This window comes from Homo sapiens, chromosome 17 (genome assembly GCF_000001405.40).
Source record: "Homo sapiens chromosome 17, GRCh38.p14 Primary Assembly".
In the NCBI taxonomy this organism is placed as follows: Eukaryota; Metazoa; Chordata; class Mammalia; order Primates; family Hominidae; genus Homo; species Homo sapiens.
This window is the reverse complement of record NC_000017.11, coordinates 18,575,776-18,602,080: the sequence shown is the minus strand read 5'-3', so window position 1 is coordinate 18,602,080 and position 26,305 is coordinate 18,575,776. Positions and strand designations below refer to the sequence as shown.

The 26,305-nt window shown below is 36.0% G+C and overlaps 1 pseudogene across 1 annotated transcript in view; it reads left to right on the top strand.

Moving 5' to 3' along the window:
- Positions 1-26,305, top strand: part of CCDC144BP (coiled-coil domain containing 144B, pseudogene) — an 87,818-nt pseudogene that overhangs the window by 23,537 nt on the left and 37,976 nt on the right. Inside the window, exons 7-12 of the transcript NR_036647.1 lie at positions 6,900-6,933; positions 7,219-7,360; positions 14,202-14,415; positions 18,558-18,740; positions 19,295-19,423; positions 21,471-22,424. The product of NR_036647.1 is annotated as a coiled-coil domain containing 144B, pseudogene (transcript). The remainder of the gene's footprint in view (positions 1-6,899; positions 6,934-7,218; positions 7,361-14,201; positions 14,416-18,557; positions 18,741-19,294; positions 19,424-21,470; positions 22,425-26,305) is intronic.

The following is a 26,305-nucleotide window of genomic DNA, read 5'->3' as shown; positions in this document are numbered from 1 at the left end:
TTTTAAAGGTACCCTACATGCATGCCATTATCCTTTCTTTTAAAAGATAATGTATTTCAGTAGGAAACACACCATATTTTTCAACAGTAGCTTCATATAATTTAGACAAATTTGATTTACAAAATAAGATTATTTTCTGCCCTTGTCCCCTTTTATTCTTGTCATAGAATTCCATATTTTGACTATTACTTTGTATATTTGATGAGTATAAAATATTCTAGAGTTAGTTGATTTTTATCAAGCAAGAAATACTTCTCCTGAAACTTTTAGTCTTCTTTGGTCTTTATGCATAAGGATGAGCAAAATGATAATCAGCTTATATAATCTAGAAATGTTCAAGAGGTCTTTTGGTTTTATAAGTTAATGAATTTTTATTTAATACCTTCATCTGGCATTTCAAAAATGCCATATAGATATGATTTAAAAAAACTTTTAAAGGTTAAAAATATAGTATATAGTTATATAAGAATTGAAAAATACAGCTAAACAAGAAGAAAATTAGATCGTCTACAGTCATGCCCCTACGTATGCTGGCCTTGAAAGAATGGTTTATACTCATGGATTCAGATTTCTTGTCCATTCTCTCTTGAGCTGATACGAGTAATTTTCACTCCCACCACTCTTCCAAGATTGTTGTTCTCAAGTTTACCATTGATTTGTAAATCTAGACATTGTTTCTTAGACCTCATTTTATTTAACCTGTCAGCAATATTGGACCCAATGGAAAACTCTCTCCTCCATAACAGTGTCTTCACTTGGCTTTCAGGATCTCACTCACTCACCTGGCTTTTCTTCCTGCCTTTCCAGTCCATCTGTCATAGTCTGTTTTGCTTTCTTCTCATATCCCACCTTTTACACATTGATATGTCCCAGGACTGATATGTCCCAGGACTCAGTCCTCAATCTTCTTTCTCATGACTTTTACTACCTTGTGTGTGCTAATGATTTCCAAATGCGTGTCTCCAGCCTAGATCTCTCTCCTTAATTCCAGACTTCCATACCAACCTGCCTACTTGACATCTCTGTTTGATTGGTCACGAACTGTTGGGTATCACAAACTTACCAGGTCCAAGATTGGGGTACCGATATTCTTTCTCATACCTACCCCTCACATGGTCTTTCCTACTTGCATTAATGGCAACTCTTGCAGTTGCTCTGCTAGAAACTAAGGTGTCGTCATTGACTCCCCTCTCTCTCTGACACCTCACATCTAATCTGTCAGCAGATCTTGTCAGGAGTACCTGAAGAATATATCCAGAAGCCAGTCATATCTTCCATTTCCAAGCCACCACCATCTGCTCTCTAGACGCATGTAATAGACTGTTAATTGGTCTGTTTTTTTTTTTAAAGAAACCTCTTTTCATTAATCCTTAACTCAGTGGCCATACTTAAAACATAAGTCAGATGATGTCATTCTTCTGCTCAGATCCATCTGATTGCCTCCCATTTCACTCTGAGTATGTGTCAGGGTTCCTCCTCATACCTAGAAGGCAACACACAATATGCCCTGTTCTCTCTCTCACTTAAACTTCTGTTTCTTATTCCCTTTGCTGTGCTTCAGCTACACTAAACTTCTTGCTCTTCGTTATCTATCACAGTTGCTTAAACACCCCAGGCACACCTCTGTACTGGGCAGTTCCCTGTGTCTGGGATGCCTTTTCCTCAGATAGCCTCCTGGCTTTCTTTTTCCATTTCTTCAGTTCTTTACTTAAAAGCCCCTTTCTCAGTAAGGACTTTTCTGGCCATCCTAGAATTCCCACTATCCCTCCTCTCAAACCTGTAAACATTTCATTTTCCTGCTTTAGTTTTTCTCCTTTAACACTGTATATTTTGCCTAATCTATCTATGGTTATTGTGTTTATTTCACTCCCATGAGTAGGATGTTTGTGTGCCTAGAAAAGGGCCTAGCTTGCAATAAGTAGCTACTCAATAAATATTTATTAAATGAGCAACTGAAGTTTACCCTTCGGTGTATTGTTTTAAACATTAGATTGATTCTTAGGTAAAAAAAAAAAAAAAAGAAAAGAAAAAAAAAGGTTTCACATGGGTTCATTCTAACACTTTTGCCTGGAAATTATATGCGTTTTTGGATTTTTTGGCTCTTTGTAATAAGCTACATTCTTTGTATTAATAGTTTTCCATTTAGAGAGAAAAGCTCAATATTGTCGTTACTCACTATTTATTCTTTTACTAATAATCATGATAGTTTTACTTATGATAAAATGGATCAAAGGAATTACATAGTTCATTGGTGATTTATAAAGAAAATTAAAATATAAGGGTGGTAAATTTAATGGACTTAAAATTGTTTCCAATTGATTATGAACCTTCAGTATTTGAAGTTAAAAGACCAAGTTGGAATGTGTTGCTTTCTATAAGAGAGCTATGCTCATCAGGCACTCTGTATTCTGACAGAGCAGCTGTTGATCTTACATAGGGTTGCGGGAGGAGCGGACTTGAAGCATTGGCAGACTCTCAGCGGCATAGGAGGGTTAACATCATCTGGAGAAACATGGCTATCTGAGTGAGGCTGCTGTGGGTTGGTTAACACTCCCAGGCTTGTGGATTGGAGCGAGTTTGTGTTTAATTGGCTGTCTTTCCGAAGCAAGTGGCCCACATTGATATTGGTTGGTGAGAGAGGCCAATGGTCACTGATGATTGACTGTATTTACAACTGGCTGTGGGTGGTTGCTTGTTACAAATATAGCTACTAAGTTTGAGACAACTTTAAACTGCAGTTTTCTGTTTAAAAGTTGCCTTCCATCAACTATGTTTAAAATGAAAATGATTTCATATTCCAGAACTATAGACTTAATTTGGAAGTGTGGGTCAAGAGGAATTGTTTAATAATTGCTCTCAGGAAGATCTCTTTTTTTGATGCTTAGTCTTAACCAGAAGAATTCGCTACATAGTTAAAAAACAAGCAAACAAACAAACAAATGAAAAGCAATTATTAATTTTGTTTCAGTTTTTAGTATTTTCAGAGACTTCTGCTAAACTCCTAATCTCCAGTGGGAAATGTTTGTCTCTTTGTTAATGTATGTAGTTATATGATAGTGATATTCTTTTTTTATTCCTTAATCTTTTTTTGTTCACTTTCTCTTCCATGCAATGATAGTGATATAATGTGTGTTTACTTCATAAAAAAGTAATTACAATTTTCTGCTGGCAAATCCAGCTTTTTATATTAAGACTAAGTACTAGACTAAATATGTGGGAAATTTACCAAATTATTTTATTTTCAAACAAACATATAACTAATCAGAATAGTGCTATTTTTGAACAATATATAATGACTATACTGACATTTAGGAATTTTAACACTAAGATTTTTTTCTTCCCGAGACATTTCCTTGATTTCTTTCATGTAATATGTGCCTGTTATTTTTAAAACTTGGTTTAATCTGTTTAAACATTATTATATTTAAAAACAAAACCCAAAACATAGCACAGATCTAAATATGAGTTTCATGTGTGAGAGTCATTGCCTGTGTGCAGTGGATTCCAGCTGTTTTTTTTTTTTTTTTTTTGAGACGCGGTCTCGCTCTGTCGCCCAGGCTGGAGTGCAGTGGCGCCATCTCAGCTCACTGCAAGCTCTGCCTCCTGGGTTCCCGCCATTCTCCTGCCTCAGCCTCCCGAGTAGCTGGGACTACAGGCACCCGCCACCACACCCGGCTAATTTTTTGTATTTTTAGTAGAGACGGGGTTTCACTGTGGTCTCGATCTCCTGACCTCATGATCCGCCCGCCTCGGCCTCCCAAAGTGCTGGGATTACAGGCGTGAGACACCGCGCCCGGTCAGCTTTTTTTTTTTCTTTTCTTTTCTTTTTTCTTTGTGACAGAGTCTCTGTCACCAGGCTGGAGTGCAGTGGCAATCTCAGCTCACTGCAACCTCCAGCTCCTGGGTTCAAGCGATTCTTCTGCCTCAGCCTCCCGAATAGCTGGGACTACAGGTGTGCCACCATGCCCAGCTAATTTTTGTATTTTTAGTAGAGATGGGTTTCACCATGTTGGCCAGGATGGTCTTGATCTATTGACCTCATGATCTGCCCGCCTCAGCCTCCCAAAGTGCTGGGATTACAGGTGTGAGCCACCGCACCCAGCTGACTCCAGCTTTTTAGTGTGGCATTCATCTTCCATTCTTACTTTCTTTGTGTTTTACACTTTTCCTTTCAAGTTCCTAGGAAACACCTAGACTCCATGGGACTAATCTTTGTGCTGTCATTCCATTCTCCAAGGGGAGTAGTTTTCTCTATTTTTTCCCTGGTGAGCTCCTCTTATATTTTGCCTCTTCTGTAACGCCTTCCTTGTGCTAAAATATAACTTTCCATATATCAACTCTTAAACTACACATTGTATCATAATTGCATATTACCTGGTTTTTGAGGCAGGAAATATATATTTCTTTATATGTTGTTGATAATTCATAACTGTGTTTTTTGAATTAATGAATTGAGATGGAGAAGAGTTGGAATTTTACAAAATTTTTTTGTTATCAGTAGAATTATTATAAAACATTGGCCTTTTGTAGATTTTTTAAAGTTGTGGTTCTGCGTTACATATGCAGGAAGTAAAGAAAAATGAAAATAAAAAATGTACCTCAAAATAATCTCTGATTACGCCAGTGTTTGAGAAGGCTAATTTAGTAACTTGTGGTCTGCTACAAGGAGATGATGACAGCAGTTTAAGTGAAATAGATGAGGTTGAAAGAAGTTAAAATGTATAAGTTCTTTATTTCTCTGAGAAGGAATATTCCCAGTGGTTACTTTTTCTGGAAATAGAAAATAGTGTAGTCTGCCAAAGCTAGAGAATACTCAACTATATCAATGCTGAAAGACTGATTATGATGAGGGCTGGTAACTTTGACAAGGAGCAGTTTCAATAAATAATTGCTGTGGAATCCTGACTGTAGTGGATAAGCATAGATACCCCTTGAGGGAACCGTTATTGGGAAAGGCAACAGAGAAATGAGTGATAATTGAAGAAGAACGTGGGATTCAAGGGAATTTTCTTTCTTTTTTATTTCAAAATAGAAGCTTTTAGAGTGTGTTTGTATGCTGCTGGGAATGATAGGGACAAGGATAACATGTTTATGAGATTTAATTTTGTATGTCTAAGTGTTTGAAAGCTCGGTTCACTATCTTTTGTAGGTTTTTAGCAAACTAATTGTCCTTAAAGTGTTTATTCATGTAGAGTTTTATGGTAAGAGTTTGTTCCTTCAGCATTGGTTCAGAAATGTAACATATTAGCATAACTGAACCTGTGAATGGTGACCTAAAATTTAAACTATCATATGCAGATTGTTTTTAATTGTGAAATAATAAACATGCAAACACTTAGGCCATACTGAATAGAATTTAAACATCCCTGATGAATAGGTATGATCTGCTGAGGTACTCTAAAATGTCAGGAGTATCAACTTTATAGTTGTTTAGATTCTGGGGAGAAGGGGAGGGTTTTGTTTAAGTACTTTAGAAAAGCTAACTGTTGACAATCTATCAGATTATTACTTCTGGATTATAAAGTGTTTTTTTTTTTTTTTTTTTTTTTTGAGACAGAGTCTTGCTCTTTCACCCAGGCTAGAGTGCAGTGGCACAATCTTAGCTCACTGCAACCTCCACTTCCCAGGTTCAAGCGATTCTCCTGTCTCAGCCTCCTGAGTAGCTGGGATTACAGGCGCCCGCCACCGTGCCCAGCTAATTTTTGTATTTTTAGTAGAGACGGGGTTTCATCATCTTGGGAAAGCTGGTCTTGAACTCCTGACCTCGTGATCCGTCCACCTCGGCCTCCCAAAGTGCTGAGATTACAGGCGTGAGCCACTGCACCTGGCCTATAAAGTTTTTTTAAAAAATATTTAATCAAGTTGACCTACAATGGATTATAAAGTTCTGAAGTATCAAAACCATGTTTCCCTGGACCAACATTGCCATCAGCATGTATTGTGTGCTCAATGAGTATTTATTTGTTGAACGCGTGAATGAATGGGTGAATACATGAATGAATACCTGTTGATGGATTTCATTAAAAATACTTTTTAGTTTTTTGAAAGTAGGTTTCTAAACTTGCCTCTGTATAAAGTTTTTTTATTAGAAAAAAATTGCAAGATTCTGACATTATTTATAGTTGTAGTCAGAAATGGAATGACAATGTGGGTTCATCTGCTATCATCTCTCTTTAAAACACTTGAAAATAAATGTTACCTTCACAGCATATCATGAAGCACATGTTTTTGAGGCAGAATTCTTGGGTTTGAGTTCTGGGTCTGCTACTGACCAGCTGTATGGGCTGAGGACAGTCACTTGGCCCTTCTGTGCCTATTTTCTTTCTTTATAAAATTCTTAATATGTTACTGACCTCACAGAATTGTTATGAGGATTATATGAGTTTGACACATGGACAGTGCTCAGAATGATGCACAGTACCTGCATAGTAAGTCCAGAAAAAGCTTACTAATATCATCATTAAAAAAGGGTTTCCCTTATATAAGAATGTGAGTAATATTTTCCAAATAGGTTTTAGTGCCCGTAAAAGCTTGTTTTTATTGAAAAGGACAACAATGAGAAGACCCTGGTATATTTATTTTTATCACATAATGCAGGTAACATGTTTTTTTCTTTTGGTTTTACTATGAGAAATCTTGACCTAAATTTAATTCTTTGTAATTATATTAGTAGTAGTAAATTTCTTTATCCCTTAATGTTGCTGTTTCTGTTTATAGTTTAATGTCCGTTGTAGAAAATTACTGCATTTTACATTACCTGTAAAAAAAATTACCTATACACTTGATGAATAGAAGTAACACAAATGCAGACATTTTATATGATAAAACAGTAGTGTTAGATATTCTTTGTATTTTACATCTTTGCTATTTTTCTAAAAGGAATTGTTTTTTTTTTTCAGGCCTGCAGATAAAACAGCTAATGAAAAGAACAAGGTATTGTAAAAAAGGAAATGATCTAAAATATTGTTTTTAAAAAACAAGTTCTAAAAGGTAAAAATGAAAAAAACAAGATGTTTTGTTGTAAGGCTGTTTGCTTAGAAAAAGTGATGAAGAAACAGTAACCGTTGATAATGGTACCTTTTAAGAACAATCTGTTGCTTTAAGAAGTACCTGTATTTTTGCTCATACAAAAAAAATGGAGAAATACCACTTCTGTACCTTTAGTATATGCTATAAATCTTTGAAGGACATTTTGAAACAGTATTATTTATCTTATAGGTCAAAAACCAAATATATCCTGAGGCTGACTTTGCTGACTCAATGGAGCCATCTGAAATAGCCTCAGAGGATTGTGAATTGTCTCACTCTGTTTATGAGAATTTTATGTTGCTGATTGAACAACTTAGAATGGAGTATAAAGGTAGGACCACTGCATAAATGCAAGGCCTTTTGATGTATCCTGCAGTAATGTGTGTATACATTGCTGAGAACTGACGCGTGATAGTGAAGCTCATCTCAGAAATACGCTCAGTGTTAAAATAGAGAACTAGCTTATACTCTACGCCAAAGAGCTATGATAACTCCACTGTACTTCTCTCAGTGTGAGTGGCATTCCCAGTCTTTTTGTTGACTCTTTCTCTCCTATTCCTTCCCCCAATGTCAGGTTACCATTTTTTTCTCCACCTGGAATGCTGCGAGAATCTTAGGAATCTTAGAACTGTTTTCCCAAATACCCCACCTCCTAAAACCATGGTCTACTCTGCAATCATAATGATAAATTTTTAAAAATTTGGATCTGATCATGTTACTCCTTTGCTTATAACTCAGCTACTACTTCTTATTGCTGTAAGGTTAGAGATCTGAATCCTCTAGCTTTATCCTGCATCGTTTTTACTCTTCTCTTTCTCTGTGTCCCACTCTGTGTCTTATATGTTTGTTCCAGCACTGATAGCTTCAGTGAGGTATAACTGATATGTGATAGACTGCACGTATATAAAATATACAATCGTGTGCACATTTGAAACCACCATAATCAAGAGAGCTAACATGTTCATCATCCATAAAAGTCTCTTCTTGTCCCTTTGTCTTTCTTTATTAAGAAACTGCTAAATTGTTTTCCAAAGTATTTGTATTGATTTTGCATTCCATCCAGAGGTATACGACATTTCTTGTTGTTCTGTATCATCACAAGCTCTTATTATTGCTGTTTTTAAATTTTGAAATTTTAGCCATTCTGATGGATGTGTATTATGCATATCATTATGGTTTTAATGTGCATTACCCTAAGGACTAATAATGTTGAGCATCTTGTATATGCTTATTTGCCACCTGTGAACTGTCTTTTCCAATCTGGGTAGCTTATGAACATTTAAAATTGAGATTCGATTCAATCAGCTTTTTTACATACACCAAAGATAGTCAAACCTTTTCATTTTCAAACTGTTATCTTACTAAACATAGTAAATATTTTAAACTTGTGACAAAATGGTCTCTGTCACAGCCAATCAACTCTGCCATTGTAGTATGAGACCAGCCATAGACAATACATATGTTAAAAAACACAGCTGCATTCCATTAAAACTTTATTTGCAAAAATAAGAAGCTGCTCCGCAGGTTGGATTTTACCCATCCCTATTATGTGATCATGATTGTGAATAAAGAGAGTTTTACTTCTTCTTTTCAACTCAGGTAGCTTTTATTTCCTTTTCTTTCCTAACTGCACTGGCTTCAGTGCAATGCTGACTAAAATAGTGAAAGGAGACATTCCTGTATTGTTCCTGATCTTACAGGGAAAGCATTCAGTTTTTCATCATGACACATGTTAGTTGTAGGTTTATCAGAGATGCTCTTTATCATGCTGATGGCGTTCCCTTGTATTCTTTGGTTACTGAGAGGGATTTTTTTTTTTTTAAATCAGGAATGAATGTTGTATTTTATCAAATGCCTCTATCTACTGAGATGATCATATGGTTCTTCTCTTTTAGTTTTTTAATGTGGTGAATACTTATATTTTACTGTCAAACAAACCGTGTATTTAGGGATAAACCCCACTTGTTTATGATGTATTATCCTTCTAATGTATCATTGGATTTGATTTGCCAAAGCTTTATTTAGAGCGTTTTAAAAGACTATTTTTTAGAGTAGTTTAGCTTCACAGCAAAATTGAAAGTAAGGCACAGAGATTATCCCTGTACTCCCTGCCCCCACACGTGCATAGCCTCCACAATTATCAATATCCTCACCAGAGTGCTACACTTGATCTCATTGATGTTCCTGAATTGATAATCATAATCACCCAAAGTCCATAGTTTATATTAGGGTTCAGTCTCGGTGTCTTATATTCTGTGAATTTGGACAAAAGTATAAGGACATGTATTTATCACTGTAGTATTATCCAAAGTAATTTCAGAGCTTTAAAACTCCTTTGTGCTTCATCTGTTCATCTTTTCCCACCTTCCCTCCCCAACTCTTGGCAACCACTGACTTTTTTTACTGTGTCTATAGTTTTGCCTTTTCCAAAATGTCATTTAGTTGGTATCAGACAGCGTGTAGCCTTTAGACTGGCATCTTTCACTTGGTAATATGCCTTTGTGGTTCCTTCATGTCTTCTCATGGCATGATAGCTCATTATCGCATGGCTGTACCAGAAGTTGTTCACTCACCTAAAGGAGGATATCTTGGTTTCTTGAGAAACTGGTTACATTTTTACGTCCGTGTTCATGAGGGAGTTTTCTCTTTTTGTAATATCATTGTCAGATTTTGGTTCAGGGTAATGCTAGAGTGACAGAATGAGTTGTATTTCTCCTCTATTTTTTTTTTTTTTTTTGAGGGCGGGGGACAGGTCATGTAAAATTGTTATATTGCTTCTTAAATATTTGGTAGAATTCACCAGCATAGCTATCTGGGCCTGGAGTTTTCTTTCTAGGAAGGCTTTACTTATGCTTTCTTTTATAGATATAGGACAGTTCATGTTATTCCTTCTTAAATTGGACCTTGGTAATTTTTGTTTTTCAGGGAAAGTGTCCATTTTATCAAAGTTGTCATGTTTAGTCACATAAAGCTTACCTTATTATATTTCTATTCTTTTAGTATCTGTAGAATCTATAAAAATGTCATATTACTATGTTTCTGAAATTAGTAATTTGCATCTTCTTTTTTATGATCAACCTGGCTAGAGTTTTATCACTTTTATTGACCTCCTCATAGTGTGTGGTTTTATTGATTTTTTTCCTATTGTTTTTCCATTTTATTGGTTTCATCTTTGATGTTTTGGTCTGTTCGGCCTGCTATAACAAAATACCATAGACTGGGTAGCTTATAAACAACAGAAATAGATTTCTCACAAAAGTCCAAGATCTAGGTGCTGGCAGATTTGGTGTCTGGTGAGGGACCAATTCCTGGTTCATAGATCTCTTTTTTCCCCCTGTGTCCTCACATGGCAGAACAGGTGAATGAGCCCTCTGGGGTCTATATATATAAGGGCACTAATCCCACTAATGAGGGCTTGGCTCCCATGAGCTAATTACCTCCACAAAGCCCCAGCTTCTGATAACATCACCTCTGTGATTAAGTTTCAGCATATGAGTTCTGGGAGGATGCAAATGTCAGACAATACCAGATGCTTATTGTATCATTTCCTCTGCTTGCTTTGAGTTTAATTTGTTCTTCTTTTTCAGTTTCTTCTCTTTTTTTAGTTTCTTAAGATAAAAGTCAAGACCATTGACTTGAGAGTCTTCTAATATAGACATTAAGTGCTAAAAAATTTTAAGTACTGTTGTAGCTGTGTTCCACAAATCCTGATATGTAGTATTTTCATTTTCATTCAGTTCAAAATACTCTCTAATTTCTCTTTGCATCGTGTCTTTGACCTAGGGTTATTTAGATGTGTATTACTTTGTTTTAAAATATTTGAATATTTTGATGAGATATTTTGTTACTAATTTGTGACTTGATTGCCATGTGGTCAGGGAACATACTTCGTATGACTTAAATCTTTCTGACTTAATTCTTTCATTAAGATTGATTGCAGGCCGGGTGCAGTGGCTCACGCCTGTAATCCCAGCACTTTGGGAGGCTGAGGCGGATGGATCACGAGGTCAGGAGATCGAGACCATCCTGACCAATACGGTGAAACTCTGTCTCTACTAAAAATACAAAAAATTAGCAGGGCGTGGTGGCAGGCTGAAGCAGGAGAATGGCGTGAACCTGGGAGGCGGAGCTTGCAGTGAGCCGAGATCCCGCCACTGCACTCCAGCCTGGGCGACAGAGCGAGACTCCGTCTCAAAAAAAAAAAAAAAGATTGATTGCAGAACCTAGAATGTGGTCTGTTTGGTAAGTGCTCACTGGGTACTTGAGAAGCATGGTGTTGTTCAAGTGTGCTCCATTCTTGCTGATTTGCAGCTCCCTTGTTTTATCACTTATTGAGTAAGTGATATTCAAATCTCAGATGTACTTGTGAATTTGTCTATTTCATCTATTGATTTTTGCCTCATATATTTTGAAGCTGTTATTAGGTGCACAAACATTTGAGATTACACGTTCTTGATTAACTGAATTTTTTTTTTTTTTTTTTTTGGTATTTTTAGTAGAGACGGGGTTTCACCATGTTAGCCAGGATGGTCTCAATCTCCTGACCTCGTGATCCACCTGCCTCGGCCTCCCAAAGTGCTAGGATTACAGGCATGAGCCACTGCGCCCAGCCGATTAACTGAACTTTTAAAAGTCATTAGGAAATGACTGTTTATAGCTGGTAATTTTTTTTTTTTTTTTTTTGGTGTGAAATCTACTTTGGTATTAACATAGCCATTTCTTCTCAGGCTTCTTTTGTCAACTCTTAGCCTGGTATATCTTTTTCCATTCTTTTGAACAATTTATGTTTTTACATTTAAAGTGCTTTTTTTAATAGGAAGCATGGAGTAGGTTCTTGCCTTTTTATCCAGTCTGACAATCTGCCTTTTAATTGAGACTTTTAGGCCAGTTCCATTTATAATGTGCTTATTGATACAGTGAAATTTGTCTGTCATCAAGCTGTTTGATTTCCACTGGTCCCCCCAGTTCTTTGTTCTCTTCTTTTTCTGCTTTCTTCTCAATTAGTCCAGTAATTTTTATGATTTATTTTTATCTCCCTTTTATGGCTTATTAGTGATAACTATTTTTTTCTATCTTAGCAGTTGCACTACAATTTATAGTATATGATTTTAACATCACAGTCCATCTTCAAAAAATATTATGGCATATCATATATGGCATAAGAAAATTATGAATGAAAACCCAAACATTGTATGTTCTCACTTGTAAGTGGGAGCTATGCTATGAGGATGCAGGGGCATAAAAATGATACAGGTTGGGGACTTGTGGGGAAAGAGTGGGAGGGGGGTGAGGGACAAAAGACTACGGATTGGATCCAGTGTATGCTGCTTGGGTGATGGGTGCGCCAAAATCTCAGAAACCACCACTAAAGAACTTATTCATGTAACCAAGGACCACCTGTTACCCCAAAAGCTATTGAAATTTTTTAAAAAAGAAAATTGGAATAGTATACTTTCATTTCCTCTCTCCCAGCCAGATACTTCTGGATTTGTAGGATTATAGTTTTCTTTACATTTAGAAAGTTTTGGCCATTCTTTTTTTATTTTTCTGTCTCTCTTTTTCCCTCTTTGGGGACTTATTCCTCCTTGAAGTTTTCTCATAGTTCACTGATGTCTCAAATTTATGAATCTTCTCTTTGGTGATGTCTAATCTGTGTTCACTTCCATCCATTTTAGCTTTCATTCCTGACACTGTAATTTGAATCTCTACAAGTGTAGTTTGCTTTAAAGAAAAATCTTCCGGCCGGGCGCGGTGGCTCAAGCCTGTAATCCCAGCACTTTGGGAGGCCGAGGTGGGCGGATCACGAGGTCAGGAGATGGAGACCATCCTGGCTAACACGGTGAAACACCATCTCTACTAAAAATACAAAAAAAATTAGCCGGGCGCGGTGGCAGGCGCCTGTAGTCCCAGCTATTCGGGAGCCTGAGGCAGGAGAATGGCGTGAACCCGGGAGGCGGAGCTTGCAGTGAGCCGAGATCAAGCCACTGCACTCCAGCCTGGGCGACACAGCGAAGACTCCGTCTCAAAAAAAAAAAAAAAAGAGAAAAAAAAAAAAAAGAAAAATCTTCCATGCCTCTGCCTGTCTGCTTGAGCTTAATTTTAATATACAGTTGAGTTCCATATGAACAGCTTGATCTTTCTGATCTTGCTTTTATGATTTGGTCTAATTTCCTGCTCCTGAGGCAAGATCTTTGTGATGACTCTATTCATTGCCATGCGAAGTCTGAGTTTTCCCAGCATCACTCATGGGAATGGACACTCTTTTTGGCACATCGTGAACACCAGACATGTTTCTTTCCAGTGTTTTTTAGATGTTTTTTTCCCCTTGATCTGGGGCGGTTTTTCTGGCACACATGTGCTGTTTGTTACTCTGCTAGATACCCAGGAGGTATTTTTGCAAATCTTCAGTGTTCTTTCCCTGTACTCTGTCTCCTTTCCGGTGTTCTGTTTCGTGATCTCTGTCTGCCTTGGCTTTACCAGACTCTCAGCTTCATCATCTCATCTCAGGGAATCTGGTGGACTCTATGTCAGTTTTTTCTCTCTGTGCGGTAGCCTGGAAACTCCGTGAAGGCAGGGAGCTGGAGTGTTGGATGAATTTCCTTTGTTTCCTGTCTTACGGGGATCATTGTCTTCATTACCTGAAGTCCACTGCCTGGTAAATCATTGTATAATATATTTTGTCTGTTTTCTTTTTGGTTGTTTCAGGCAAGAAGGTAAATCAGTACTTGCTGTCCATTGTGGCCAGAAGCAGATTCCAGCAGAGCTTCAGCACCTGCTGTCGACTGGCAAGAATGCTTTTCTACCCCTTTGCTTAACTGCTTCCTTCTCACCCTTCATTTCTCAGTGTAGCCATCTCTTCCTCAGGGAAATCTTCCCTGGGCCCATTATAGATCAAATTCTTCTGTGTGATCATAGAACTCTGTTTTCTTACACCATATATCTGAATTTATAATTGTCATTTTTGTTGTGTTTGTTCCTCACTTCACTTAAGGCTAAATGAGAGTAGAGGTCTTATCTGTTTTATCTGCAGAGCTTAGTAGAATGTCTCCCACTTTGTAGGCACTCAGTGCATATTTGTTCAATGTATGAAGGAGACAATGTTAAAAATGCACAGTTTTTTAATACCTAAAAGTACTCATATATTTTATTTCTACCTTTTCTCCCTGACACAGATTCTGCTAGCCTACCAAGAATCCAAGACACATTTTGTTTGTGTGAACACTTACTGAAACTTAAGAATAATCACTGTGACCAACTTACAGTAAAACTTAAACAAATGGAAAATATGGTCAGTGTACTACAAAATGAGCTATCTGAAACAAAAAAGACAAAATTACAGTTAGAACTTCAAAAAATTGAATGGGAGAAAGAGCTGTACGATTTGAGGTATGATGTTCTAGTTCTAAAGAAATATTTATACTAAAGACAATATATCAGAATTTTTGTAACTGCTGACTTACCTTCTGCAGATTAATGGGGGAGAAACCTTTTTGGTCTTGTGGAATATGAAATTCTTGGAAATAATAAAACAAATTATTAACTGTGAACTCTTCTAATAAATAAATGTATATTCTTTGCAATCTAAATGGCCATATAGAAGTCCACCATATAAAATCTTGTTATTCATTTAACAAATTGTAATTTGGGTTTTAAAATTATCTTGTATTTATAATTAATGATGTAAGGAACATCTTTTATCGTTACTATTATTTGTAGATACAGGGTCTCTGTGCCTGGGACTGGAGTTCACTGGTGTGATCATATCTCCCTGCAGCCTTGAACTCCATCCTCCTGCCTCAGCGTCCTAAGTAGTTGGGACTCCAGGTGCACATTCTCATGCTTGGCTAACTTTTTAAGTGTTTTGTAGAGACGGGGTATCACTATGTTGCTCAGGATGATCTCCAATTCCCAACCTCAAGCATTCCTTCTGCAAAATTGGCCTCCCAAATCATTAGTATGACAGACATGAGCCATCATGCCCAGCCCAGAACATTTTTTATATAAATGTTTTTCTACATTCCTAAACGGTTTGCTTTGAATAAATTCTCCAATATAGAATTATTGGTTGAAATATAGGAACTTTTTAAAAAGACCTTTGATCAATATTTCTTAATTTTTCACAAGAATGTTTGTGTTAATTTATAGTTCAAGCAACAGAGCATGAACTGGTCACTTTTCTAAACCCAAAGTAATTTTCAAAAAATTTATACAGTTTTATTGTTTTTGAAAACTTTTTTTTTAATTTCATAGCTTTAGGTATACAAGTGGTTTTCGGTTAAATGGATGAATTGTATGGTGGTGAAGTCTGGGATTTTAGTGTGCCTATCACCCGAGTAGTACACATTGTACCTCAGTAGGTAGTTTCTCATCCCTCATCCTCCTCCCACACTCTCCCACTTCTGATTCTCCGATGTCCATTATACTACTCTGTCTGCATTTGTGCACCCATAGCTTAACTCCCTATTATGAGTGAGAATGTGGTTTTATTTGGCTTTCCATTCCTGAGTTAGTTCACTTAGAATAATGGCCTCCAGTCCCTTCCAAGTTGCTGCAAAAGACATTTATTTCATTCTTCTTATGGCTGAGTAGTACTCCATGACATATATATACCACATATTATTTATTCCATTCATTGGTTGATGGACCCTTAGGTTGATTCCGTATCTTCGCAATTGTGAAATGTGCTGCAATAGACATACGTTTGCAGGTGTTTTTTTTTGATATAATGATTTCTTTTCCTTTGGGTAGATACCCAGTAGGGGATTGTTGGATTGAATGGTAGCTCTATTTTAGTTGTTTGAGAAATCTGTCTACTGTTTTTCACAGAGGTTGTACTAATTTACATTTCCACCAGCAGTGTATAAGCATTTCCTTTTCACCACAGCTGCACCAACATCTATTGTTTTTTGACTTTTTAATAATGAGCATTCTGGCTGGAGTAAGGTGATATCTCCTTGTTGTTTTAGTTTGTATTTCCGTGAATATTAGTGCTGTTGAGCATTTTTAAATATGTTTGTTGGCCATTTGTGCATCTTCTTTTGAAAAATGTTTGTTCATGTCATTTGTGTACTTTTTGATGGGATTATTTGCATTTTCTTGCTGATTTGTTTGTCCTTTGTCAGATGCATAGTTTGCAAATATTTTCTCCTATTCTGTAGGTTCTCTTACTCTGATGATTATTTCTTTTGCTGTGCAGAAGCCTTTTCTTTTCTTTTCTTTTCTTTTTTTTTTGAGGCAGAGTTTCACTCTTGTTGCCCAGGCTGGAATATAATGGCGTGATCACGGCTCATGGCTACCTCTGCCTCCCGGGTTCAAGCTATTCTCCTGCCTCAGCCTCCTGAGTAGCTGTGATTAAAGGCATTGCCACCACGCCTGGCTAATTTTGTATTTTTAGTAAGACAAGGTTTCTCCATGTTGGTCAGGCTGGTCTTGAACTCCCGACCTCAGGTGATTCTCCCACCTTGGCCTCCGTGTCACTGCACTCCAGCCTGGGTGACAGAGCGAGACTCTGTCTCAAAAAAAAAAAAAAAAAAAAAAAAAAAAAAATATATATATATATATATATATATATATATATATATATATATATATATTTTGGTTTTTGGTTAAATGGATGAATTGTATGGTGGTGAACTCTGGGATTTTAGTGCGCCCATCACCTGAGTAGTACATATTGTACCTCAGTAGGTAATTTCTCATATATATATATATATATATATATATATATATATATATGTACATTTTTTTTTTTTTTTGGTAGAGATGAGGTCTCATTATGTTGCCCAGGCTGGTCTCAAACTTCTGGGCTCAAGTCATTCTCCTGCCTTGGCCTCCCAAAGTACCGGGATTACAGATGTGAGCCACATGTTAGGCCTAATCCATCTTGAGTTAATTTTTATATATGGTGAGAGATAGGGATCCAGTTTCATTCTTCTACATGTGGCTATTCAATTTTCCCAACACCATTTATTGAATAGGGTGTTCTTTGCCCAGTTTATGTCTTTGTACGCTTTGTGAAAGGTCAGTTGGTTATACATATTTGGCTTTATTTCTAGGTTCTCTATTCTGTTCCATTGGTCTACGTATGTACTTTTATACAAGTACCATGCTGTTTTGGTTACTTTAGCCTTGTCATATGGTTTTAGATCTGGTAATGTGATGTCTCTGGCTTCGTTCTTTTTGCTTGGGATTGCTTTGGCTATTCAGGCTCGTTTTTGATTCCCTGTGAATTTTAGGGGTACTTTCTCTAATTCTGTGAAGAATGACAGTGGTATGTTAATAGGAATTGCATGGAATCTGTAGATTGCTTTGGTTAATATGATCATTTTCACTATATTGATTCTTCTAATCTATGAACATAGGGCATATTTCCATTTGTTTGTGTCATCTATGATTTCCTTCAGCAGTGCTTTCTAATTCTCCTTTTAGAGATCTTTCACCTCCTTGGTTAAGTATATTCCTAGGTTTTTGTTGTTGTTGTTGTTGTTGCAGCTGTTGTAAAAGGGATTAGGTTCTTGATTAGATTCTCACCTTGGTCATTCTTGATGTTTACTAGTGCTCCTGATTTGTGTACATTGATTTTGTAACATGAGACTTTTACTGATTTCATTGATTAAATCTAGGAGTCTTTAGGGTTTTCTAAGCTAAAACAGAGATAGTTTGACTTTGTCTTTTCCAATTTGGATGCCCTTTATTTCTCTTACCTGATTGCTCTGGCTAGGACTTCCCAGTTTTATTCTAAATATGCACGAACTAAGTAAAATGGACAGTAATTGATGATTATTTTATTACATATCTCTCATATGCAGATAAAATTAATTCCAAACTCATTGTTGAAACACATATTATCCTTTACTTTTAAATTAAATATTAGATCCTGTCTTGTTCCAAAAAGGGATTTTAAAATTGGTGATGAAATACTTAAGAATCAAGAAGATAAGTTGAAAGTGTTACCCAGAAGAGAAACATAAAAAGGATGGGGTAACAGTTATAGACAGCTTAGCCTAGTCTTGGATTGTAGTAATCTGCAGATACATGGTGTGTGAATGACATCTGAAGGTGTTATCTTACACTGTAAATCATTTTTATGACTACACATACACTATTTCATGAAGATGAAAATGCATTTCTAGTGAATTTCTAAACTTGTTTGTAAACAGTAACTTCTTTTAAATTAACTCTAAATGATCTAATTAATTTTCAACTTGCATAACGTGAAAAAGAAGTAATTTTCAACTTGTAACTTTACTGAAAAATTTCAAATATGCTTTTCCATAATATTTACCAGGGTTACTAGTAACAGAAACTTACCAGTTAATGGAATATTTCTTTCCTCACTACCTCTCAAATATATATGTCCCTTGGAAGAGATCAAAGTGAGAAATTAAAAACATGAGAACTAGAAAGGAAACAAGAGCATAGGAGTTTTTATGAGGATAATAAACCCACATGGGAAGAGCCAGATCACAGAATAAACTTTTTTATTTTTTAACAAAACACATTTTAATGTAATCCATGTTTAACTGCAGACTTGCCTTAAAACAAGAAAATGGGAGAAAAGAAATGCCGATATGTTGTATAATAAAGATAGTGAACAGTTAAGAATAAAAGAAGAGGAGTGTGGGAAAGTGGTTGAAACAAAGCAACAACTTAAATGGAATCTGAGAAGACTTGTTAAGGAATTGAGGACAGTAAGAAATAACTTGGATCTGGTAAATTAATCTTTGGTGTAAACTTCATTTTTCTAACTTTATGTTTCATCGGTATTACTTATAATTTTTTGCCTTCATGTATATCATTTAGGTTTAAAATAAACCAAAACTGTTATTTCCTCTTAAGAATGAACTATGACATTTATAGATAAAATTATTTACTGTAAACCTTGTCATCTAATAGATGCTCAGTCTGTGTTTTTAGAGTGGAGGATAAGTTGAGTTTAATCACTAATATAGCTGTTCATTTACACATTTTTTATGTTAAAATACAGGCTAAATAGCTTTGAAACTATAAGGACACTAGTTAAATGTTTTGAAAGAAATTTTATTTCACAATGCTGTATCTTCCTGTAGTTAAGAACTGTTTTTCCTCTTTGACAGATTGAGCTGTCATGTATGCAATTAAGATTTGAGTGATTCTTGAGGGATAAAAGTTCTTGTGTTTTAACAGGCTACTTCTTTTTAACCGTTTTATAAGAGAGGCTCTGCTCTTAACCTTTTAGATTTTCTTTTTCAGTGCTATTAGACCAAAACCTCCATGTTATCTCTAGGTTGTGCAGGAGAGAAACGATGCCCAGAAGCAACTTTCTGAAGAACAGGATGCCAGAATATTACAAGATCAGATTCTGACAAGTAAACAAAAGGAACTAGAAATGGCTCAAAAGAAAATGAATTCTGAGGTATTTTCTTTAGTCATTTTCAAATATATTTTTGTATGTGAATATATTTTTAAGAAACAACTCTGTGCAACTTGGAAAGTACAATGGATTTTTTAACTACACACACACACACACACACACACACACACACACACACATATACATTTGGGGGTGGTGATGGTGGTTCTGGCATTTTTGGCTCATTGAATAAAGTCATGTTCTTAATTCAACTCCATTTGTTTGCAAGAGTCAAGTAGTGACATTCACAATGGCCTTATCCAAAGGAGAAACATTTGTTATTTTTCATAGAATTAATGATCTTTCCACAATCTCAAAATCCTTGCTACTAACAACAGACGTTCTAGTTTTCAGACATTATTTCATTTTCCTAATATATTAATGGAGAGGTTAGATTATTATTTCCACTTGCAGTAAGGATGAAATGTATAGCCAGTTCAGAGGCCGTACTTCAGATGCCGTTTCCCTTACTTTTGAGGAGAGTAACAGTTTGCTCCAAGTAGCGTCTCATTTCAGTGCAAAGAGCTTTGAAAACAATGATATGCCATAATATAAACTTGGTGATAATTTATTGGTAAGTGTTTTTTCTTAGAAAAATAGTTCAGTGTGTGGGAGACTGAGGCGGGTGGATCACGAGGTCAGGAGATCAAGACCATCCTGGCTAACGCGGTGAAACCCCATCTCTACTAAAAATACAAAAAAAATTAGCCAGGCGTGGTGGCGGGAACCTGTAGTCCCAGCTACTCGGGAGGCTGAGGCAGGAGAATGGCGTGAACCCTGGGTGGCGGAGCTTGCAGGCAGCCAAAATTGGGCCACTGCCCTCCAGCCTGGGTAACAGTGTGAGACTCCGTCTCAAAAAAAAAAAAAAAAAAAGAAAAGAAAAATAGTTCAGTGTATTTCACCCTGTTTCATGCTTATTTCTGTTTCAGACATTATAAAGAGGAAACTTAAGTTATTGTAATAACAGATAATCTCATGATTTTCTAAGAAAAGCTCTGTAACTTCTTTTTTTACCACTGGTGTTTTGAAATAAGCCTCTTTTATATTTATATATACACAACACAGAAGTAATTGTGGTTTGGTGGAAGAGCACTAGAAGTAAAGTAAGGGGACCTAGGGAAAATCCTGCAACTTGCATATTTTTTGACCTCTCCTTTCAGAATTGTGATATAAATGAGTTCAGTGATACATGTACAAGTGCTTGGTACAAGGCCAGGTGCAGCGGCTCACGCCTGTAATCCCAGCACTTTGGGAGGCCGAGGTGGGTGGATCACTTGAGCCCAGGAGTTCCAGACCAGCCTGGGCAGCATGGCGAAACCCCATCTCTACAAAAAGTACAAATAAATTTAGCTGCGTGTGGGGGTGTGTGCCTCTAGTTCAGCTACCCAGGAGGCTGAAGTGGGAGGATCACCTGAGCCCAGGAGGCCAAGGCTACAGTGAGTCTTGATTGCGTCACTGCCCTCTAACCTGAGTGATGGAGTGGAGACCCTATCTCGAAAAAAAAAAAAAAAGCCTAATATAATGCTTAGATTTAGCATTTATGAATAAATGTAATTCTTATATAACTGATGATAAAAATGTTAGAAAAATAAATAGCTATAGAATATTCTCAGGAAAAAAAGAACTTCAAGAACGTTGGAACATTTCCTCTGTCCAGATATATGCAAAGCTACAGCTTTTACTATAGGGTGGTGTATAGGTTAGATGTCAGAGTGTAAAGCCAATTTTTTAATGTAGTCAAATTTATTAGTCTTTAATGCCTTTGAGTTTGTTGTAATTTGGAGACCGTCTTTTCCAATTCTGAGATGCTTAAAATTTCTCTAGTTATTTATGTTCTACATTCATGGATTCATTGTCTTCAAATAAACTTATGAAGTTTTGGGAATTTATGCTCTATGAGGTTTGAAGTTTCGATAGAATATTTTTTTCCAGTTGGATATCCACTTATGGCAATCTTTTCATTGTATACATGTATAGGTTATTTAATTTCAGAGAAAATCATAATCTGTCATTTTATTGAGTGCTACTGAATGTTTCCTTTCTCACTTAGATTTCTCATAGGCATCAGAAAGAAAAGCATCTCTTTCATGAAAATTGCATGTTGCAGGAAGAAATTGCCTTGCTGAGACTGGAAATAGATACAATAAAAAATCAGAACAAGCAAAAGGAAAAGAAATATTTTGAGGACATTGAGGCTGTGAAAGAAAAGAATGATAACCTTCAAAAAATTATAAAACTAAATGAGGAAACATTAACAGAAACAATACTCCAGTACAGTGGACAGCTGAACAATCTGACAGCTGAGAACAAAATACTCAATTCTGAACTGGAGAATGGGAAACAGAACCAAGAAAGACTAGAAATAGAAATGGAATCATACCGTTGTAGACTGGCTGCTGCTGTACGTGACTGTGATCAAAGTCAGACAGCAAGAGACCTAAAACTTGATTTCCAGAGAACAAGACAAGAGTGGGTTCGTTTACATGACAAAATGAAGGTTGATATGTCTGGCCTACAAGCTAAGAATGAGATTCTTTCTGAAAAACTTTCTAATGCTGAAAGTAAAATTAACAGCCTACAAATTCAGCTCCATAACACAAGAGATGCTCTTGGAAGAGAGAGTTTGATTTTGGAACGTGTGCAAAGAGACCTCAGCCAAACACAGTGTCAGAAGAAAGAAACTGAACAAATGTACCAAATTGAACAAAGCAAACTGAAGAAATACATTGCCAAGCAGGAATCTGTAGAGGAGAGATTATCTCAACTACAAAGTGAAAATACGTTGCTTCGACAGCAACTGGATGATGCTCACAAGAAAGCTAACAGTCAAGAAAAGACAAGCAGTACTATCCAAGACCAGTTTCATTCTGCTGCCAAAAATCTTCAAGCTGAGAGTGAAAAGCAGATTCTTTCACTACAAGAGAAGAACAAGGAGCTGATGGATGAATATAATCATTTAAAAGAAAGAATGGATCAATGTGAGAAAGAGAAAGCAGGAAGAAAAGTAAGTATTAAGAAAGATAAAATATTTTTCAACCTTCCTGAAAGAAAATGTAAAGTAATATTTGGTTATGGCTAAATGTTGTATCTAGTTGAATATAAAATGTATAGATCATAAATGTATTTGCTGTATCAGCCTAGAAATGTACCAGTGAAAAAGAAGTTAAACCTGAAAGATGCTTTACTTTGCATAAAGAAATTGTGTCACCTATGAAATTTCAAGTTCAGTTACAGTGTTAATAGGTACAGACTAATACTCATGATGTAGTCTTATGCTGCTGAAATGATCATTGCAATGCCTTTATGTGGCCATGTTTTAATACCATGATGAAGCAGATAAACAGAAATGCTCATACCTGACATGAGTATTTTGAAATTAAGATTCAGTGGGGAGGGTTGCTTTGACCGTTAATTCCAGATTTCCCAGGTGAACTGAAGTATACTGCTGTATCTCATAATACTTTTCCTTCAGTAATTTTGTAATGTATTTAAGTTGGTATAATTTTATTTTTATTCATATCAATTTGTCTTAAATCTGAGACGATTTCAGTCTCAAATTACTTGTTATGACCTCTCAATTCTTTAAAGGCATTTACTTTTTTTTTTTTTTTTTTTTGAGATGGAATCTTGCTCTGTAAGTTTTGTATTTTTAGTAGAGACGGAGTTTTGCCATGTTGGCAAGGCTGGTCTCGAACTCCTGACCTCAGGTGATCCGCCCGCCTTGGCCTCCCAAAGTGCTGGGATTAGAGGCGTGAGCCACTGTGCCCGGCCTAAAGGCATTTACTTTTTATTAAATCATAATTTGGGACAGATGTGAATTTCAGCAAAGCCATGTTACATTTAATCTTACCACTGGTATTTATAATTTACTTTGAATGTTTTTACAAAGAATTTGCTCATAATTTTCATTTCAAGGCTCACTGCCTATCATTCGGATATAACTTTGATAGTACAAAGGTAACTGTGGCTATCTGTGATTTATTTGTTTGGCATTGAGTCCCATTTTCAAACTAATCAGAAGTGGCAGGATTCACATATAGCAGGAATGGACTGAATCGGTGAGACAGTTGTAGGAGCTGAGATCAGGAGGGAGGTAGAGGCCAGGTTACCTAGGGCCTCAAAGGCCATTGGAATTTTACTTGTATTGTGAGATAGGAATCTTTTAGAAGGATCTGAGCAGGCAATTGAATATGCAAGGAACTCTGAGGTTGATTTGAGCTTCTAATAAAAAACAGGGAAAACATTTTACCAGTGTGGGATGTACCACCAGCAGCCCCACCCACGTATCAAATTCTTTTTGAGACTTCAGTAGGTTGTTAAGCACTGCAGATGTTTCAGGGAAGAGTGAGTAGTGGGCTGAATCTATTGCCTAAGTTAACAGAAAACCGATTTGGCAGGAAGATAACACCTTCTTTGTCCTTAACTAAATTCAGTAATAAACAAGAATGTGTGCACATGAGGAAAAGAAGGCGAATCATATATGTGTTGATGTTTTTCAAAGTATATGAGTTAGAGTTAAATCTTACTACCATAATTTAATAATAAGGTGATTTATAAATCAGTAACAAAAAATACCTTCACAGGTAGTTATGAGAGAATTCCAACAAGAATGGACCGATCTCCTAAAACAACAACCTACGTCAGAGGCTACCTCACGTTGTCACATTAATTTAGATGAGACACAGGATTCAAAGAAGAAATTGGGTCAAATCAGAAATGAAGTTTGTATGAAACATAACATGTCAACAGTTAATCTATAGGTGGTGAAATAATGTCAGATGTTTTAGGATACTGATTGCAGTGGATAGCTTTCTTTTGTATTTTTATTATAATTCATTTTATTACAATTTAATTATCTTTATAATACACTTGTTTCTTAACCTCTGGCTTTCATTCTGTCCTTTTCTCCTCATAAGTACATACATTTTAAAAATAAGGATCATTTCCAAAGATCCTTAGGAAAATTGGGAATTATTCAGTATTCCTCACAGAAGTTGAGAGGCTTTTTTTTTTCCTGTGAAGTAGTATTTTTTTAGTGATTTCTCTATTGCCATGGTGAGGCAAGCCAGATTAAATTATAGGATAATGTTTAATAGAATGTTCCAGAAAATTGTCTTATTTCTTATCTTTACTTTTGTGAATGGGTACAGAATCTGTGTATATTTATTTCATGAATTTCAGGATAACTGGTACAGAAAGGCCATAGTACTGTTCTCCAAAATGCAAATGTTTTAATTTACAAACTACTTGAAATGTTAGTTACTTCCTTTATTTTCCTTTCATTTTAAATATATTGTGCTTTTTTACAAATCATGTACAGTATGTACATCCAAAGTAGAGAATTAAGAGATATATCTAGATTCTACCACTGAATTTTTAAAAACAAGTTTACTGAGAGAGAATTCTCATACCATACAGTTTACCCATTGAACGTGTACAATTCATGGTCTCTTAATATATTCACAGAGTTGCATAACCATCACCATCATCAATTGTAGGACATTTTCATGACCCTGACAAGAATCAGCAATCTATTTTGTTTCCATAGATCAGCCCATTCTGGACACCACGTATCAATTGGATCACACAATGTGTGGTGGTCTTTTGTGACTGGCTTCTTCTACTTAGCATAACATTTTTAAGGTTCATTGTGTTGTAACATGTATCAGTATTTAATTTCATCTTATTGCTGAGTAATTTTCCACTGTATGGACATACCACTAATTTATTTAGCCATTCATCAGTTGATGGACCTTTGGGTTGTTTCCATGTTTTGGCTATTATTAATCATGCTGCTGTGAACTTTTATTTACAAGTTTTTGTGTTTGTATATGTATTCCTTTCTCTTGGGTATATACATATGAGTTGAATTTCTGGGTCATATGGTAACACTATGCTTAACCTTTTGAGGAACTGCCAGTCTGCTTTCCAAAGTGGTTGCACCATTTTACGTTCCCATCAGCATTGTATGAGGGTTCTAATTTCTCCACATCCTTGCCAACATTTTTCATATTTTTGATTGAAAAAGGATTCCAACCTAGAGGTATGAAGTGGTACCTCATTGTGGTTTTGATTCACATTTCCCTAATGATGAATGACTTTAAGCCTCTTTTTATGTGCTTATGAGCCACTTGTATATCTTCTTTGGAGAAATATCTGTTCAAATCTTTTGCCCACATTAAAATTGGGTTGTCCTAAATTTCTGAATTTTAAGAGTTCTTTATATACCCTAGGTGTAAGTCCCTTATCAGATATGTTTCCAAATATTTTCAATGGCTTTCCTTTTTATTTTCTTTTTTATGATTTATTATGTTTTTAAAATTTATATAATTTTAAATTGTAGAGAGAAGGTCTCACTATGTTGTCCAGGCTGGTTTTGAACTCCTGAGCTCAAGCAATCCTCCCACCTCGGCCTCCCAAGTGTTGGGATTATAGGTGTAAGCCACCATGCCCAGCCTCCTTTTCACTTTCTTGATGGTCTCTGTTCAAGCACAGAAGTTTCACATTTTGATGAAGTCCAGTTAATTTTTTTTTGTTTGTTTTGCGGTCACAAAGATTTATGGCTATGTTTTCTTCTAGGAATTTTATAGTTTTAGTTCTTACATTTAGCGGTTCTATTTTGTTACTTTTAGGTATGACATTTGGTGAAGTCCACCTTTATTCTTTTGCATGTGGATATACCGTTTTCCCAGAACCATTTGTTGAAAAATCTATTCATTTCTCATTTAATTTTTTTTACACCCTTGTTGAAAATCAGTTGACCATAAAAGTGTGTGTTTGTTTTTGGATTCTCAGTTCTAATATATTGAGCTATGTCTATCCTTATGCCAGTAGCAAATCACATTTTAGGAAAATTCATTTTCAGTCCTGTTGCTTATTACCAGT